This window comes from Homo sapiens, chromosome 17 (genome assembly GCF_000001405.40).
Source record: "Homo sapiens chromosome 17, GRCh38.p14 Primary Assembly".
In the NCBI taxonomy this organism is placed as follows: Eukaryota; Metazoa; Chordata; class Mammalia; order Primates; family Hominidae; genus Homo; species Homo sapiens.
The window spans coordinates 36,499,474-36,515,348 of NC_000017.11; the positions used below are offsets into that span (position 1 = coordinate 36,499,474).

Below are 15,875 nucleotides of genomic sequence, written 5' to 3' on the forward strand. Positions count from 1 at the left end.
AGGGGTCTGGATTGTCTGTGCCTTTAAAAACTTTTTTTTTTGTTTTGTTTTTAATCCTCAGTTGAATTTGTTCGCTTTATGCATCCCTGATCTCACATCACCATATACCCAAACACTGATACAATTAATAGATGGTGGTAATTTTTATTCCCTTCTCTGCAATTTCAGCATATTCTTTTTCTTTTTGTTTCTTTTTTTTTTTTTTTTTTTTTTTTTTTTTGAGACAGGGTCTTGCCCAGGCTGGAGTGCAGTGGCACGAACAGCTTATTGTAGCCTCCGTAAGGCTGTAGCTTCAATCTCCCAGGCTCAAGCAATCCTCTTGCCTCAGCCTCTGGAGTAACTGGGACTACAGGCATGTGCCACCAGGCACGGTTAATTATGTTTTGTTGTTTTTTTTTTTTTTGAGACAGAGTCTTGCTCTGTCACCCAGGCTGGAGTGTAATGGTGCAATCTCAGCTCACTGCAACCTCTGCCTCCTGGGTTGAGGTGATTCTCCTGCCTCAGCCTCCTGAGTAGCTAGGATTATAGGTGCATACTACCACACTTGGCTAATTTTTGTATTTTTAGTAGAGAAAGGGTTTTGCCATGTTGCCCGGCTGGTATGAAATTCCTGGGCTCAAGTGATCCTCCCACCTCAGCCTCCCAAAATGCTGGGATTACAGGAGCGAACTACTGTGCCCAGCTTCCTTATACAATTTTTTAATGCCTACACACACACAAACACACCTTAAAAGGAGGGCATCGCCCTTAATATGTAGTTTGACATCTAGGTATGAATATCATTTTGGAAGTGGTTCTCCATTAAATTTATAATATTCTTCAAAAACACTTAGCTGCATCATAGGGATGGTCCAGTCCATCATTTGGCCATGATGTCACCACTGTTAGATATTTGGGTTCTTTCCAACACTTTTCCTTTTCAAAATAAGACCACTATGAACATGTTGGTTAATACATCTTTTCATCTGATGAACTCCTTTTGGTTTTTACCTTCTCCTTAAATTCATTCCAGCCCTAGAGCCCAGCAGGTAATGGTTTGAGTTGTCATAAAGGGAAAAAAAGTTGGCCTAAACAGCTGTCAGGGTCTGAGAAAGGAATTAAAGACAACGCTTAGACAACGCTTAGCCTCCACTTCTTACAGAGCACCTTTGTTTGTGGAGTGACTTGGTTTCCATTGAACTGGAGAGACGTTATGAGTGAGGGGGACAGGGAATTTGAATCCCAGCACACCACAGGGACATCTCTTCAGGCTGGGACACAGCTTCAGGAGATGGGGACTCGACGAGCTATGTTTCAAAGGAAACCAACATCCTGTGGGGTCTGTGAGCAGTGCTGACAGGTGACCTGCCCACCTACCTGCCTGGATGAGCATGACGGCCCGCCACTGCCGCTCCTGCTCTCGGTGCCGGTGTCGCCTCCAGCCACCCTGGATGCAGCGGGCACACTGCTCCAGCACCCGGGCACGCCCACATTCCAGAAGCTCCAGCTGGGAGAAAAGGCATCCATTGAGGGCAGCCTCTTCTCCCCCTGCCCCCTCCTGCTGAGGAGAGCACACAGCTTGCCTCTGTAACCTCCTCATCCCCAAACCAGCTCACCATAGAGTCAGTCATGAACACCTTGGTCCTGCCACAGTGCATGGGGGCTGGCATGGCCTCAGCCGAGTCACCAGTTATGGCTGCTGCCTGAGTTAGGACCGGCAGAGTGTGGAGAATGTCCTGGATGAGAGGTTCAAGCGTGGCTTCCTCGCTGTGTGGACACCATTCTGGGGGAGGGAGATGGCCCCATCAGTGCATGGTCATCTCTACATGCCTCTGTGGCCTGAAGAAACTGGCTTTGGCCTCCCTAGCACTCTACAGGTCTCTTTCCTGCTGTTCTTGGCTCTAGCCATTTTCTCCTTGTTCTTCTTTTGGAGGAAGCCACAAACAGCCTCTCTGTTGTCCCTCAGGGTGCTAGCTGTTCCGTGGAGCCTTGGAATACCCACTTGCGCCTGTGTGTCCTGGGGTGTCCCACAGCCTCTACTGCCATGAGTCCCTTTGGGCAGGCTGGCAGAGGGTGCTTGACACCTGGAAGGGTGACTCCTTCCAAGCTTGGAATCCCAGGCTGCTCAGCCAGCATTTGTTTCCAAGGCCCAAACACACATCCTGAGGGCCAAATAGGGCAGCTATAGGCCACTCCCTCAGCCCCGACCCCTCAACTCCCCACCATGTATGGGAAAAGGGAGATCCAATCCCAGCCCTTAGTTTGGGAATCTTCTACTGCAAATAAAAAGAATAAATTAAAAAATAAATTTAAAAAATCCCAGCCCTGCAAAGGTCCCGTGTCCCACTGCCTGCCCTCCCGCAGCTCGCAGAGCTGACTCCTGGAGAGGTAGGATTTACCTGAGGGCTCTGACCACCTTAGATGCCCAGTGCCTCTCTGAAGACAGAGGCTGCCAAAGGAGACACCACAGATGAGAAACAGCAGCAAAATCAACCAGGGGCCAGAAGGGCTATGGGCAAGAGACACGGAACAGGACAGCAAACCATGGAGAGGGAGAAGAAAGGAGAAAGGGTGAAAGGAAAGTGAAAACTGCCCAGGAGGGGAGGAAACAAAGCAGGATTGCCCCAATGGCTGTGAGGGGCCCAGGGTAAGGCTGGGTGGGAGGGGCAGAGGTGCTGGGCTGGGGTCCTGCCGAGGCGGGGCCCCCCGGCAGCCTGTCCTTGGCCTGTTCTCCCTCTGCCTGTGTCTGGGCCCTGTGGCTCCCACAGCCTCTCTTTTATCTGCATGCCGACAACCCCCATATGAGGGCCTCCAGATCCTTCCTTTGAGACTAAAGCCTGCCTAAGTGCCTTGCAGACTTCTTCACTGGACCTGCAGGACAAGTCACCCATGCCCGGGCTCTTCAGCCTCCCTGAACCTCTTTTCCTCTTGCTTTTCCTCACTTCCCAGGCTAAGTTAATTTACTCCTTTCCTCTCCCTCTACATCTAGTCAAGCCCCTACCAAGACTGACCAGTTTCTTCCAACAAATATTTCCCGACTGTGCCCACAATTCTTGTTTCTCTCTATTGGGGCAACTTTGCAGCCTCAATCCCACAGCCCTCCATGGTGCCCCCAGAGTGGTCTCCAGAAAGTGTGAGGCTGATAAGAGTCATTTGCTCCTTCCCCTGCAGTGCCTGCTCATCTGCCCAGAGAATAAAGTCCAGATTCCTTGATGGAGCCCTACCTGCCACTCCAGCCTCACCTGCCCCAGTTCTCTGCCTCAATGAACCAGCAACACAGAACTGGCTGGAGTTCCTCATACCCACACTGCTGCCTCAAGCCTCTAGGCCTTTGTTCAGATTACATTTATCATGTGGACCACCCATCACCTGGCTAATCCAATTTATTCTCAGATACTACCTCTTCCAGGAAGCCTTCCCCAATTCACACCTCCCTAGCACCACCCACAGCATCCTGCTCATAGCTCTGCTTTTCCACTTTCCATGCTATTTGTCTTTTTTGAATCTGTTTCCCCCACTGAACCAAAACCAGGGCTGTGTTTTATTCACCAGTAAGCCCCAGCCCCTAGCCCTAAGACAGGGCACAGGGTAGATGCTCAGTAAACTGTGGTTGCACAAATGACTAACTCATGGGTCCCACTCACCAGGGAGCCCTTTGGCAGGATATGGGCTGTCGGGGCCAGAGGATGTGCAAGGATGAAGCCTTCTTAGTAACTTGTATCGTTCTACAAAGTTTCGGTGAGAGACCCTGGAGGCCAAAGCAGGCAGAAGTAGAGAATTACTTCATCTGTGAGCCAGGTTAACGGTTCAGGGCTCATCAGAAGTTATTCTATTTAATCTGCTCAACAACACAGCACGGTGCTGCCCTCCCCGAGTATCCCCACTGAATGTGAATGTGGTTTTGAAGCGATTTCTAGGATCACTTAGTTGGAAACCCATAAAGACTATTTAAAATGGGTCTGCTCTCCCTGCTGCCTTGGTCTACCAACACAAAGCATCTCTTGTGTTAGCAGGGGATTTGCGGGCTGCCTCCCTCCAAAGGGGCTGACAGGCCTCTCCCCAAACAATTGGACCAGTCCTATGACGCAGACATGCTTGGCCACATCTCCCCTCTGACCTCTCTGACCCCACAGTCTCCTCTGCCTCCCCCAGATCTCCCTGCTCCTCATCAAGGCAACACTTCTCAGACAGCTGCTGGCACCTGATATCTGCACTTCCTCCCAATTGCTTGTCAGCCCTCCTGAGTCTGGCTTCTGTCCCCAACATTGTACCAGTGTGGCTTTTGTCACAGCCATCAGCTGGGTACAAAATAGTGCACAATAAGTGAATGGATGAACGAATGGGTGCTGCTCCCTAGTTCCCAGCTGACTTCTACAGACCAGCCTCTTTCTCTTCATTTCCACATCTCACTCTGGGTTGGGCAGGCTCTTGCCCAATGAGAGTCCTGAGCCCCACTCTGTACTGGCCCTGCACTGTGCCGTGATCGAGCCCACTCACCGGATGGGGAAGCCAGCAGCACTGATATGGATGGTCTCCACGAGGCCACAGGCCTCCAGCTGGCTCAGGACCTGCAAGGGTGGGGAGACAGGGCAGGCACCTGCAGCATGGGGCCAGCAGGCCAGAAATGCCATTCTCTCAGCCCTTCTTCTTAGACCCTGGCCAGTGCCAAGCTGCAGGCTCTCCCAAGGCTTGGCTAATGGGGGTATCTCCTTGGGGCTGTGAGAAATCGAGGGACCTTGAAAACAAATCTCCCACTAGAAAGGGTCCTGGTGGTCCCAAGTCCCCCTCATCCGACGCATGGCTTCTGATACAGCTGAAGCAAGTGATGTCCTGGCTCCGTCTCACCCTGCCCTCAGTGTAGTCTCACTACCACACAACCCAGCCCAGGCAAATTTCCAGTTTGGATTGTTTTCACTGTCTGCAGGCATTAGAGGGTGGTTCACAGCTGAGAGGCAGGGAAGATTATACTATGAAGATTCTTCTGTGACCTGAACCCAGGTCTTTACCACAGAGCTGAGTTGTCCTGGCTACAAACCGGAAGGCCACATCTACCAGGCCACACCTTCAGCAGTGCCCAGCATTCACCCCTCATCCACATCCCTCAGAACCTGGAATCCCAAGAAAAGGGCAGCTGCTGGCTAGAGTGCTTTTGTTAGATTAGAAAAAAATGATACCGGCTGAGTGCAGTGGCTGCTCATGCCTGTAATCCCAGCACTTTGGGAGGCTGAGGTGGGCAGATCACCTGAGGTCAGGAGTTTGAGACCAGCCTGGCTAACATGGTGAAACTCCATCTCTACTAAAAATACAAAAATTAGCCAGGTGTGGTGGTGCATACCTGTAATTCCAGCTATTTGGGAGACTGAGGCAGGAGAATCACTTGAACTCGGGAGGCGGAAGTTGCAGTGAGCTGAGATTGCACCACTGCACTCCAGCCTGGGTGACAGAGTGAGGCTCAGTCTCAAAAAAAAAAAAAAAAAAGAAAAAAATGATACCTCCAGTGAGAAATGGCTGCACTGTGCGGGGACTGTGTGGTGATGTAGACTTTCAGCTAATCACGAGACACCCATTCCTCTGGGCAGTTTCAGTCTCTCATCAGGGTACATGGCTCAAAAAAACAAGATGCACTGGAACTTGCCTCCCTGGCTAGGCTACTATGCACAGACCACACAACCATACATGCCTGCCCTGCCACAGCAAGGGAGATGGGTCCTCTCTCATGTCAGGCCTGGCCGGAGAGACCACTTCTGTGCACTCCATTTGGAACAGATGTCCTGCCCTTCATCTCTCCAGGGCCTTGGCCAGATGGGGTTTGGTGCGAAGCAGCTTTGGCCCGGTGTTAATTACCTCCTCTTGGAGAAAGGTCTGCGCCTGGCCCTGGCTGTTGGGCTTGATGCAGCGAATGTAGTGGGGCGTGGTGCTGTGTAGGACCTGCAGAAGCTGCTCCAGTGAGGCCTGCAGATGAGAGACCATGGGGTTAGGCAGGGAGAGGGGCTGCCCAGGGCCATCAACTGGGCTCTGGTTAGTAACTACATCAAATGCCTCCAGCGGGCCCTTCCATGATCCTGAGACCAAGAATCTCCTGTGCAGGGATGACTGCTGCAGGCTCTCAACGAGCAGGCTCAGAGCACATTCCTCTCCCAACTTCCCATGCTCCTCACCTCTGTCTTAAGGGACCCTTCTAAACCTGTGATCCTCCCTGACTGTTCTCCCTGAATCCAATCTCCTCCTCTTTCCCCTCCCCACTTCTCCCCAGAGCAATCTTCTTAGAAAAGAACAATCTCAAAACTTCTTGCCATTCGTCCAGCAACAACTGTTATCACTCAGCTCATCCTGTGTGTTGGAGGCTGTGCCACAGGCTGCCTGCTGCCATGTCAGAGCTCACTCCAATGGGCCACACATGTTGGATGAACACCCTCGGGGGTGTGTTTGAGGCTGGGTAGGAAGGTGCTAATCAAACCTGGTTTTCCAGGTGCCTCCTCGAGGTGGTGGTGATAAAGCTAAAGTCTGAAGGATGAGAAGGACTAAACTAGGAAAAGGGGCGTGGAGGATGGGAGTGAGGTGGAGCTGATGGGGCAGTAGTCAAGAGTATCCCAGGAAGGTGGGGCGGTACATGCAAGGACTGAGAGGTGGTAGAAAGCAGACGATGTGAGAGAAGTGAGTGAGGGTAGGGTTAGAACAGGAAGCTAGACAGCTGGAGATGAGCCAGGTCAAAGAAGCTCATGTAGCTGATCCTCTTCCCATGAGCACCCCAGTGGCAGGGGGTGAGAGGCTGCATAGTGCCCCCATAGGCCCCTAGACTTCCCATCATATTATACCTGATAGCCTATTTGTCTACTGTTTCTGTCTTCCACACTGAAGTATAAACTCCAGGGGACTGGGACCACATCTACTTGACTTGCCACTGCTCCCCAACAAACAGCACCGATCCCGGCAGGTGCTCAATAAATATTTGTGAGACCGTGGAGTTTGAACCAAGCACCTCCCATCAGCACATCAGACCCACCTTGAACTTGGACACCACGGTCAACACAGGGGCCCTGCTCTGGCCAGGGGGTTCCTCCTGGGTCTTCTCTTTGGGGTTAGTAGGAAACAGCCCCATGAGCAGGGGGTCCTGGGATTGCTGCAGGAGCCTGGTCAGCTCAGGTGGGATAGGGTCCTATTGGGAAATGGCAAGAGCAGCAGTGAGGGCAGGTGGAGCTTCTGCTCAGGGCCATCCACTGCCCACCCAAGCCGCAGATGACGGGGCTTCCAGGTAGGACAGGGCCTGAGTCCAAGAGAAGGTCCATTGGACAACCAGAGACCTGGAGACCCAGTCTAACATGGGTTATCTCCAGGCAGGTCATGCTTGATTAGTGGAGACCTCAGACAGGTGGGCCCAAGATGGTGATTCTGGATTCTGGGAGGAGGTTCAGGAGAGAAAGGACTCACGATGGGAAACTACTATGTCTGCATAGCAAAGACCCAGCATCTCGTTTCTCGCAGGCCCCACAGGGCATGGCCCAGCCCGTACCTTGTTCTTCTCCACCAGGCCTGCTGTGTGGTACCGCACAGGCCCCGCATAATGCACCACAATGAAGCTGGGCTCCCGGCTGAGCTTATTGTGGCCCAGGCAGGGGCTGCCTGCCAGGGCAGTCTCAATGCGTGTCTGGAGCTGGGCTGCGCTGCTGGGTCGATTGAGGCGGCATTCCTGTGGGATGGGAACAGGGGGTCAGCCACCAACATGAGAGTGTCTCACCACAACCCTCACTGTCCCCACCCTGTGGACCCCATGACAGCAGACATCACACAGGCATCATAGTGTCCCCAACAGAAAAAATATAGCAATTAGCAGATCTATTTGGCAGACTGGGAGGAGAGAGGCACAGAGAGGAAACAGGATAATCATCAAGGCCCCAGAAAACCCAAAGGCCAACTCTGGTGCTCGGCTCATTAGCTGACCTCCCCACCTCATTTATGAGGGAGCAGATGCTGATGGGGCTTCCCTCAATGAGATCCAAACAGGGCTGGTTGTCCTGGTAGTTGATGAATGACCACTCCAGGCCCTCAACTGCGTATTCCTCCTAAAGAACAAGGTGGGATGAGGTGGGAGAAGGCAGCTGTGGTCTGATGTCCTGACGGGCCATCCACGGCTGGCCTCGGTACCACAGCGTATTCCAGAACAGCATCAAAGAAACAAAAGTATATCAAAACATTACATTGTACTCCATATGTGCAATTATTATTTGTCAATTAAAAATAAAATAAGAAGGAACAAAAGGCTTCTAATCAGAACCTGGACTGGGGCTGGAAGGTCAGGAAGGGATTGAGGATCCAAAAGAAGGACCTGCCTCCTGCTCACCCCATCCCTCACCTGCTGGGCCCTTAGGTAGTGAGCCACAAAATGCTGCTGCAGCTTCTCATTGGCGTAGTTGATGCACAACTGTTCCAGACTGTTGTCAGGAAATGATTCAAATCCATACACATCCAGCAGGCCTGGGAAGATGGCAGAGAACCCATGGGGCCACTGCAGGGAGCAGATGGGGAATAGGGGACCAAGGAACCCAGGGTGGCTGGGCCCCTGCCAATGCCTTATACTTGGCAGCCTGGGCATCAGGCTGAGTGAGCATGACACCTGTGGTGGGCAGAACATACCTTCCCCACCCTCCACCCAAGGTGGCTCCCATCTCTACCCCATTCCCCTGTAGAGCTCAGAGCAAGCAGGAAACCCAAATGAAGTGTGAAGACAGCCCAGAGCATCAGGCCCATTTTTGAGTCTGAATTCTCTGGTTCTGATAGGCACCTCCTATGAGGAAACCAGGTCCCAGGGAACATTTTCTGTGTTAAATCTAGTTCGGAGGGCATTAGTCTCACTAGCCAATTTGGTGCCTAGAATTCCACCATTCCATGAGCAAACTGCACTTGTACCTTTAAGCTTTATTTCCTCCTATAACTGACTGTCCCACCTAGTTACAACCGTGTTGACCTCCCTCAGTCATGTCCCCCAAGTCTTTTTTTGTTCTCCCCCCTGAGATAGGGTCTTGCTCTGTTGACCAGGCTGGAGTGCAGTGGTGTGATCACAGCTCACAGAAGCTTCAAACTCTTGGGCTAAAGTGATCCTCCCACCTCGGTCTCCTGAGTAGCTGGGACTACAGGCATGTAGCACCATGCCTGGCTAATTTCTTTGAAATGGGGTCTTGCTATATTGCCCAGGCTGGTCTCCAACTCCTGGCCTCCAGTGATCCTCCCACTTTGGCCTCCCAAAATGTTGGGATTACAGGTGTGAGCCACGGTGCCAGCCTCCAAAGTCCCTTCTAATACAGCTATTTTCCCCAACCCCCACTACTCTCCCACAATTAGAGCTGGGTCTCTGGGGAGGTAAAGGGCTCTTTCAGACAAGGCACTGTTGAGCCTGTCTGGAGAGTTATGGACTGCTCAGATGTGGGTGCAGGAGAGCAGAGATCTCACCCTATGCAGAGATCTCGCTCTATGCTGGCAGGCAGATGCAAGAGGAGACAAAAAAGGGAAAGGAACTGCCCAGAGTCACACAGTGGACCCAGGGCTCCTGCCTCTCCATCCAGGGCTTTATTGCTCTTTTTCTGGAGTGCTCCCAGCACAGTGAGGCCTTGCTACCTATGAAAGTGGTCCACGAGTCGGTGTCTGCACAGATGCTGCTGTTGATCACTGATACCAGCCAGTCAAACAACCTGTTGGGGGAAGAGAGTGGACTCTGGTAAGAGGGTCTGGCTGAGTCAAAGGGGTGGTAAAATTGCTCCCCCCATCAGGGTGCTACACCCTGGGGGGCCCTTGTATTCTGAGCCTGACAGGTCAAAGACCAAATCCTCTCCTCTTGCTTCCGGCCTATCACGTCTTGACCTACTACAGATGCAGGCTATGGGCATGCATGTTGCCAGGTACACACAAACCTGGCATGTCCTTATGGGAAGACTGAGCACAGGACAAGCTCAGCTCCTAGGCTGGGGAGGGAATCAGTCGAGCTCAGTCACATGGCTCGAGACCCAGCTAGTGTCTTGGGAAGGGGCAGATGGGCCTGGGTGTGGTTTGTAAATAACTGAGTTCATTGAACACCCCTGCAAAACTCTACCGGTGGAGCCCAGAGCTCAAGGCCCCACCATACCCCCTGATGTAGTTCTGCACAAGTGGGCCCCCAGTCCCGAGGTCAACAATGGCATCCTCCACTCTAGAACCGGCCCCAGCCCAGAGAAGATGAGACTACCACACAAGACGCTGACACGTACAGCACTATACAGGGGTTTCTTCCTCACATTTTTTCTTAAAGTAATTGCTCTGCAACTTTTTTCCCTTCAGTAAATAAACTGGCTCTTTTTGCAACAGGGGCTGTGCAAATGTCCTGTGGTCAGAAGCTCACTCTATCTGTGTTCATCACACTTTATCTGCTCATCTTGGAGTGACTTGTAGGCAAAGGCTTTAAAAGCCTTTGACCTCAAATTGTGACCTGAAATTAGCTTGAGGCAGTGGTAACTAGTCTCTTGCTGAAATGGATTTAGTCTGGCCTCAGCTGCCCTGGACCATTTTCAACTCGGACGATCTGGTTCCCCCAGCAGAGCTTCTCAGGCTATTGGCTCTTTGTGGAGTTTATGAAAGCAGGGGACCCTCTCCCCAGAAAGGTGCCCAAGGTCTCATGTGCACATGCACACACATACACTCATTCTGGCTCATCTCAGAGGATTCTGGGCCCCTGAAGCCCTTACAAGGCCTGCTGAAGAATCTCAGAACTCAAGGTGAGAGATCATCCTTAACCACATGGCCAGAGGGTGGAGGTACCCACGTAATCTACCAGAAAAGGCCAGGACCCCACCTTCACCACTGTGCTACATGCTGTGGGCTGAGCCTCTGGCTTTACCACAATCTATCAAACTCCTAGGTGATGTACAAAGGCACAGGGAGACAGAGAGGCCCATTCAGCCAAGGATCTGAAGCAGGAACTGCGAAGGCTCTAGATCACCTTTGGGGCCTGCCTTGCCAGCAGACAGCTGAGCAGGTTCTCTTCACCTTGCTGAGGCTAAAGCAGCCTCCTGAACTTTAATAATGAGCTGAATTCTGGCCAGGAATGTAGCAACTTTCCCACTCAGAAAGAGGCCACAGACGCTGCTTGGTGAAACCTGGGAGCTGTGCCCTGATGTGTCCAGGGGTTTGAGGAGCAGGGAGAGGAACCAGTCTGTCTTATCTCCCACCCTGGGCCTGTGCCTATTGCCTGATGTTGTCTGGCCCAACCCCGGACAGGAAGAGCACTTGTCGGGGTCCTCCCCAACAAGGGGCCAGAGTAACTGCTCACCGCGCATAGATCAGTTTGGCCAGGCAGTCTCTACGGGTGTCACACTCGGCTCGGGCGCAGGGCTTCCGGAACACCTGCTGCTGTCTGCCTGCCCTGATGGTTCTAATCTGCACCATCTCCAGCAGCACGTCCTCTGGGAGCCCCAGCAGCGAGGCTGCCGTCCTGACAGAGTCTGGGAGGGGCAAATCCTCTTTAGGCAAATCACTCTCCATCCAGTCCTCTTCACGAGGCACTGTGAAGTCATCACAGCGGGACCATGACTTGCCCAACTGGACAGAAGAAACCTAAGTTCTGATCAGTGAAGTGACTCACCCAAAGGACTCCATAAACAGCAGTCAGAACTCAAACCCAGCACTTTCATGTACCAGTCCATGCTGCCATGTATGGGACAAATCACTTTACAAACCTCTGACTCATTTTCTCATCTTTAAGATGGGGACGATACTGTCTGCCTCACCAGACAGGGTGAGGAGTAAATGATCCAGGGCCAGGCCCTATGGTGGGTGGCATAAGCAAGGGCATCAGATTCCAATTTTCACCATCCAGCCTTCCACCCAACCCCAGCAATGCTGGCTACCTTCCTGACAGGGCCTGCCCCATCCTACACCCTGACCCTCACACTTGGCATCATCCATCGGCTGGCAGGGCTGGGCTTCATCCTCGGAGGCAGCAAACTGGATATTGCCAAGGTGCAGCAGTCCAGCTAGGACCTGGGGGAAAGAAAAGGATGGGTGGGAGTAGGAGAGGGCGTGACGTGGGCCTACTCTGGGAAGGGCCGTTCTGCTGAGTACAATCACGACAGCAGAAGGGCAGCTCCCAATCATGGCCCAAGTGCCCATCTCTGCCAGACACAATTCTATACAAGTTACATGCATCGCCTCATTGCAACTTTTCAACAACCTGTAAGGTATGTGCTACGCCACTGCCTATGATAGAGATGAGACTGAGGACACGTGCTTCCTGAGGGGAAAGGTGGGATGAGAACCCAGGCTGACTTCAGATGTCTCCTGGGGCAGCCTGTGGGCCTCCATGCCCACCCATCCTCTACATTTCTGCCCCCTGCTCTCTAGGAATAGACTGGTGACTGGGGGCAGGGCTGCTTCTGTGTGCCTGCTGGAGGCTTGTCTCTGCTTCCTTGAGCCCTTTCCCACTGTCAGGCTTCTGAGAGCCCAGCCTGCTGGAGGCACTGTGACCTTGGTCTGTGTCCGATGGGTGCCCCTTTGCCTTTGTACTCAATGTTCCACACCGACAAGCCCCCTGGGGCTATAGACAGAAGCTCCCCTCACCCCACCAAGGCCCAGCAACTTCAAAACCCTCAGACCCAGCTAGGCATGGTGGCACACGCTTGTAATTCCAGCACTCTGGGAGGCTGAGGCAGGTGGATCACTTGAAGTCAGAAGTTTAAGACCAGCCTGACCAATATGGTGAACCTCCATCTCTACTAAAAATAAACACACACACACACACACACACACACACACACACACACACAAAATTAGCTGGGTGTGGTGGCACATGCCTGTAATCCCAGCTACTCGGAGGCTGAGGTAGGAGAATCACTTGAACCCGGGAAGAGGAGGTTGCAGTGAGCTGAGATTGTGCCACTGCACTCTAGACTGGGCAACTAGAGTAAAACTCCATCTCAAAAAAAAAAAAAAAAAAGAAAAAACCACCACCCTCAGACCTGACACAGGGACCCCACCCACCATTCCTATATGGTCCCAGGCAGGGTGCCTCCATGTGCTACTGGTCTTCCGGCCACAACTTGCTCCAGAAGACTGCCATGCCCACCAGGCAGAAGGGCTGTGGCAGAGGGTCATGCCCACCCCCAAAGCACTCCTGCCCCGACTCCCAGTGTTGTCCACTTATCCTGGGCTTGTCCCCAGGTACTGTCCTTCTGTCAAGTTCTTACCTGGCAGTGTCTGAGCAGCCCCCATCTGGAGGTGAGGGTCACTTTCCACTGCATTGCTACCTCCCTGAAGTGGCCTCCCTTTCTCGACTGCCAGGCCATCCTATCTATCCCCTCCTGCTGCTCTAGAGGGTGAGGAAGATGAGAGGAGGTAGTCAGCTCTGTCAGCAAAGACAGAAGGGAGGCCCCCCTAGTGTGACTGAGAGGAGCCCAGCTCACCTGGGGCAGTCTCATGTTCCAGAGGACGACGGGGCACGGGTTGGGGGAAGACAGAGAGGGTAGGAACTTGGAATTACTATGTCTGGTACTCTGTATCACCACTTAGTGGTATCTGACCTTGGGCACGTCACTTTACCTCTCTGGTTTTCTCAGGCATAAAGGGAAATAAACACACACAGAGGACTGTTTAAAAAACTAAGTGAGCAGAGAAGTGTGAACATGACTTGTAAGTTTTAATGTACTAGACAAGCAAGGCGGTAGCACTAGTTCTCTCTTCTGATCATGCGGTACCTTGCTCTCTGCCCCCATGGATCACTTACTGCATTCTGTACTCTAGCACTGTGTATGCATCACTCTTCCTTATGCCCCGTCCACCCCACCACCTGGTCTCCAGACTCAGCAGAACAGAGGTGACTGATTCCTTGGAGGTAGCACAGAAGGGCCCAAAGTCCTAGATCCTCAGGGAAAGACCAACTCCAAGTCCAGGGAAAAGCTCTATGCAAAGGGCTGCCCGTCATCTCTGCCAAACTTAAGTGGCGTGGCTTTTCTTCTGACCTTAAAGATGTTGTTCTGGGTAGGGGTGTCAATGCCCAAATGGAGCATGGCCTCTCTGGTCACCTCAAAACAATCCTCTGAAAAAGAATCCAAGTTCGGGGCAGAGGTCAGCAGCAGCAAGATGCGAGGGAGGCAGGCTCTGTACAGAGTGGGTGGGTGATGCTGGGTCAGCGCAAGGTGCTGGATGGGGCTCCCCTTACCTTCTAAGCTCCTCTCTGGGTTGGGCAGCCAGGAGAAGGCAGCTCCCTCAGGAAGGTGCCACTGGAGCCTCTCGTCCTCACTGGCTCCTTTGCAAATCTGTGGAGAAGGGTAGGTGGGAGGCTGGGTAGGGGGTCTGAGAAAAGCCCAGGCCTGCATAGGCAGGCATGGGGTTGGGATAAGAGGAGAGTTGGTAGCAACATCACAAGGCTCAGAGGTCCCTTCCGAGAGCCCACGGCAGGTATGGGGGCAAAAGATGCCGTAAACATAGCCCTGGATGTCTCCAACCTGATGCAAAAGAACCTTGCTCTAGGGAAACCTGCAGTCTGGTGAAAAAAGGACAACTCCTGCCCAGGGAGTCCGTCGTCTTGACGTGGGAGGCATACCCATCACCTAAGGATGCTCCGATTTTGAGAGAAAGGGAGATATCCTATCCATGCCTTGGGGGACTCCCAGTCCGATGGAAAAGGCACAACTCTAGGGAAGCCCTTGTTCTGTTAGCGACAGATGCCATTCTAGGAGAGCCCTTAAAATGATAAGAGTGACACGGCTTCCACCCTAGAGATACAGTCCCAGCCTCAAGGACCTTCTGGTCTGATGGAGGAGGTAAAACATACTCCCAGGCCACAACTGTGCTGGGAGCCAAGGCGCAGTGTGAGGCAGAAGTGCTGCATGTAAAGTCTGCAGGATAAAGTGGTGGCTCCATCAAAAGCTAGGTGAAGGAACCAGGTATGGAGCATTCTGGGGAGTGGGGGGTTGAAAAACACGGACCCATCCCTGTCTCGCATCTGGGGGGCTGTGGCCCCATTTGGCACAAACCTGATAGAAGATGTGGAAGTTCCTCTCACTGGAAGCCTGGCAGGCCACTCGAGTTTTCTCTAGGAGGTAGGTCTGGACTGCGGCTCCAGTCATTTGCTGAGCCCTGGGACACACACAGGCCAGAGCCCGTTAGTTGCCCATTCATTCCATAGCCATGTCTGGCAATCTGGGTGTGCCAGATTGCCTGCTACCTGGCAACTCCCCGCCAAGCTCTTCCACTTAGCCAATGGGCACTGAGGGGTGGGGACCACTCAGAATGTCCTTGGGTGTCCTGGAATATTCCCCTGCATCTAGCTCAGGTGGGCAGGGCCAAGGCCTCTGCACATCACTTTGCTCTACCCCAAGACAGGAGTCGAAGTCTCAGCCTCAAGCTCAGGGATATGGTCCAAAGAGGTGGCAATTTAGCTTGAAGTCCCTGAGCAAGAGTAAAAGCCAGGAGGAACCCAGGCCTGAATAAGCGCACTGCCCCAGGGTTCCCCAAGGGGAGAGGAGCTATAGTTCTCCAGGTGCAAAGATCACCCTCAGAGCTCACACCTGAGGTAAAGGGCATGCACCAGGAGGAGCAGGGTTTTTGCCCATAGGGGTGGCCCAGGCCAGATACTGCCCCAGCCACTTTCAACCTCCCCAGTCCCATCCTCCCACTAGCCAGGGCAACAGCAGCTATTACCTGTTCAGCTGGAGCTGGATGAACTTCCCAAAGCGACTGCTGTTGTTATTCCTCAGTGTACACGCATTCCCTACAGATCACACCTATGTTTATTTCACTCCCCTGGGTTTGCAGAGTCCTCATAAGCCAAGGTGGCTGCAGGTCTCTGGAGGTCATGTTCCCGTGCTCAAGTCACCTAAAGGCCCCTTTGTTGGTTTTCATGTCATAGGGGACAGGACTAGAAAATGGGCCCTCAT

General features: G+C 52.7%; 1 protein-coding gene across 37 annotated transcripts in view; it reads right to left on the reverse strand.

Moving 5' to 3' along the window:
- The window catches only part of MYO19 (myosin XIX), a 49,180-nt gene that overhangs the window by 3,838 nt on the left and 29,467 nt on the right, over nucleotides 1-15,875 (reverse strand). For 13 of the 37 annotated variants that reach the window (XM_047436835.1, XM_047436840.1, NM_001163735.2 and 10 more), the window contains 16 exons: nucleotides 15,640-15,709; nucleotides 14,973-15,075; nucleotides 14,156-14,252; nucleotides 13,956-14,032; nucleotides 11,892-11,982; nucleotides 11,273-11,444; nucleotides 9,589-9,662; nucleotides 8,330-8,451; nucleotides 7,926-8,039; nucleotides 7,490-7,666; nucleotides 6,983-7,135; nucleotides 5,824-5,931; nucleotides 4,477-4,547; nucleotides 3,624-3,727; nucleotides 1,596-1,762; nucleotides 1,357-1,486 (listed from right to left, as the gene is read on the reverse strand). In XM_047436835.1, coding sequence (XP_047292791.1) covers nucleotides 1,357-1,486; nucleotides 1,596-1,762; nucleotides 3,624-3,727; nucleotides 4,477-4,547; nucleotides 5,824-5,931; nucleotides 6,983-7,135; nucleotides 7,490-7,666; nucleotides 7,926-8,039; nucleotides 8,330-8,451; nucleotides 9,589-9,662; nucleotides 11,273-11,444; nucleotides 11,892-11,982; nucleotides 13,956-14,032; nucleotides 14,156-14,252; nucleotides 14,973-15,075; nucleotides 15,640-15,709 — 1,830 coding nt within the window. Of the gene's footprint in view, nucleotides 1-1,356; nucleotides 1,487-1,595; nucleotides 1,763-2,385; nucleotides 2,489-3,623; nucleotides 3,728-4,476; nucleotides 4,548-5,823; nucleotides 5,932-6,982; nucleotides 7,136-7,489; nucleotides 7,667-7,917; nucleotides 8,040-8,329; nucleotides 8,452-9,588; nucleotides 9,663-11,272; nucleotides 11,445-11,885; nucleotides 11,983-13,184; nucleotides 13,307-13,400; nucleotides 13,411-13,612; nucleotides 14,033-14,155; nucleotides 14,253-14,972; nucleotides 15,076-15,639; nucleotides 15,710-15,875 lie in introns of those variants that run through there. The other 24 variants (XM_047436823.1, XM_047436826.1, XM_024450955.2 and 21 more) reach the window with 9 other exon arrangements.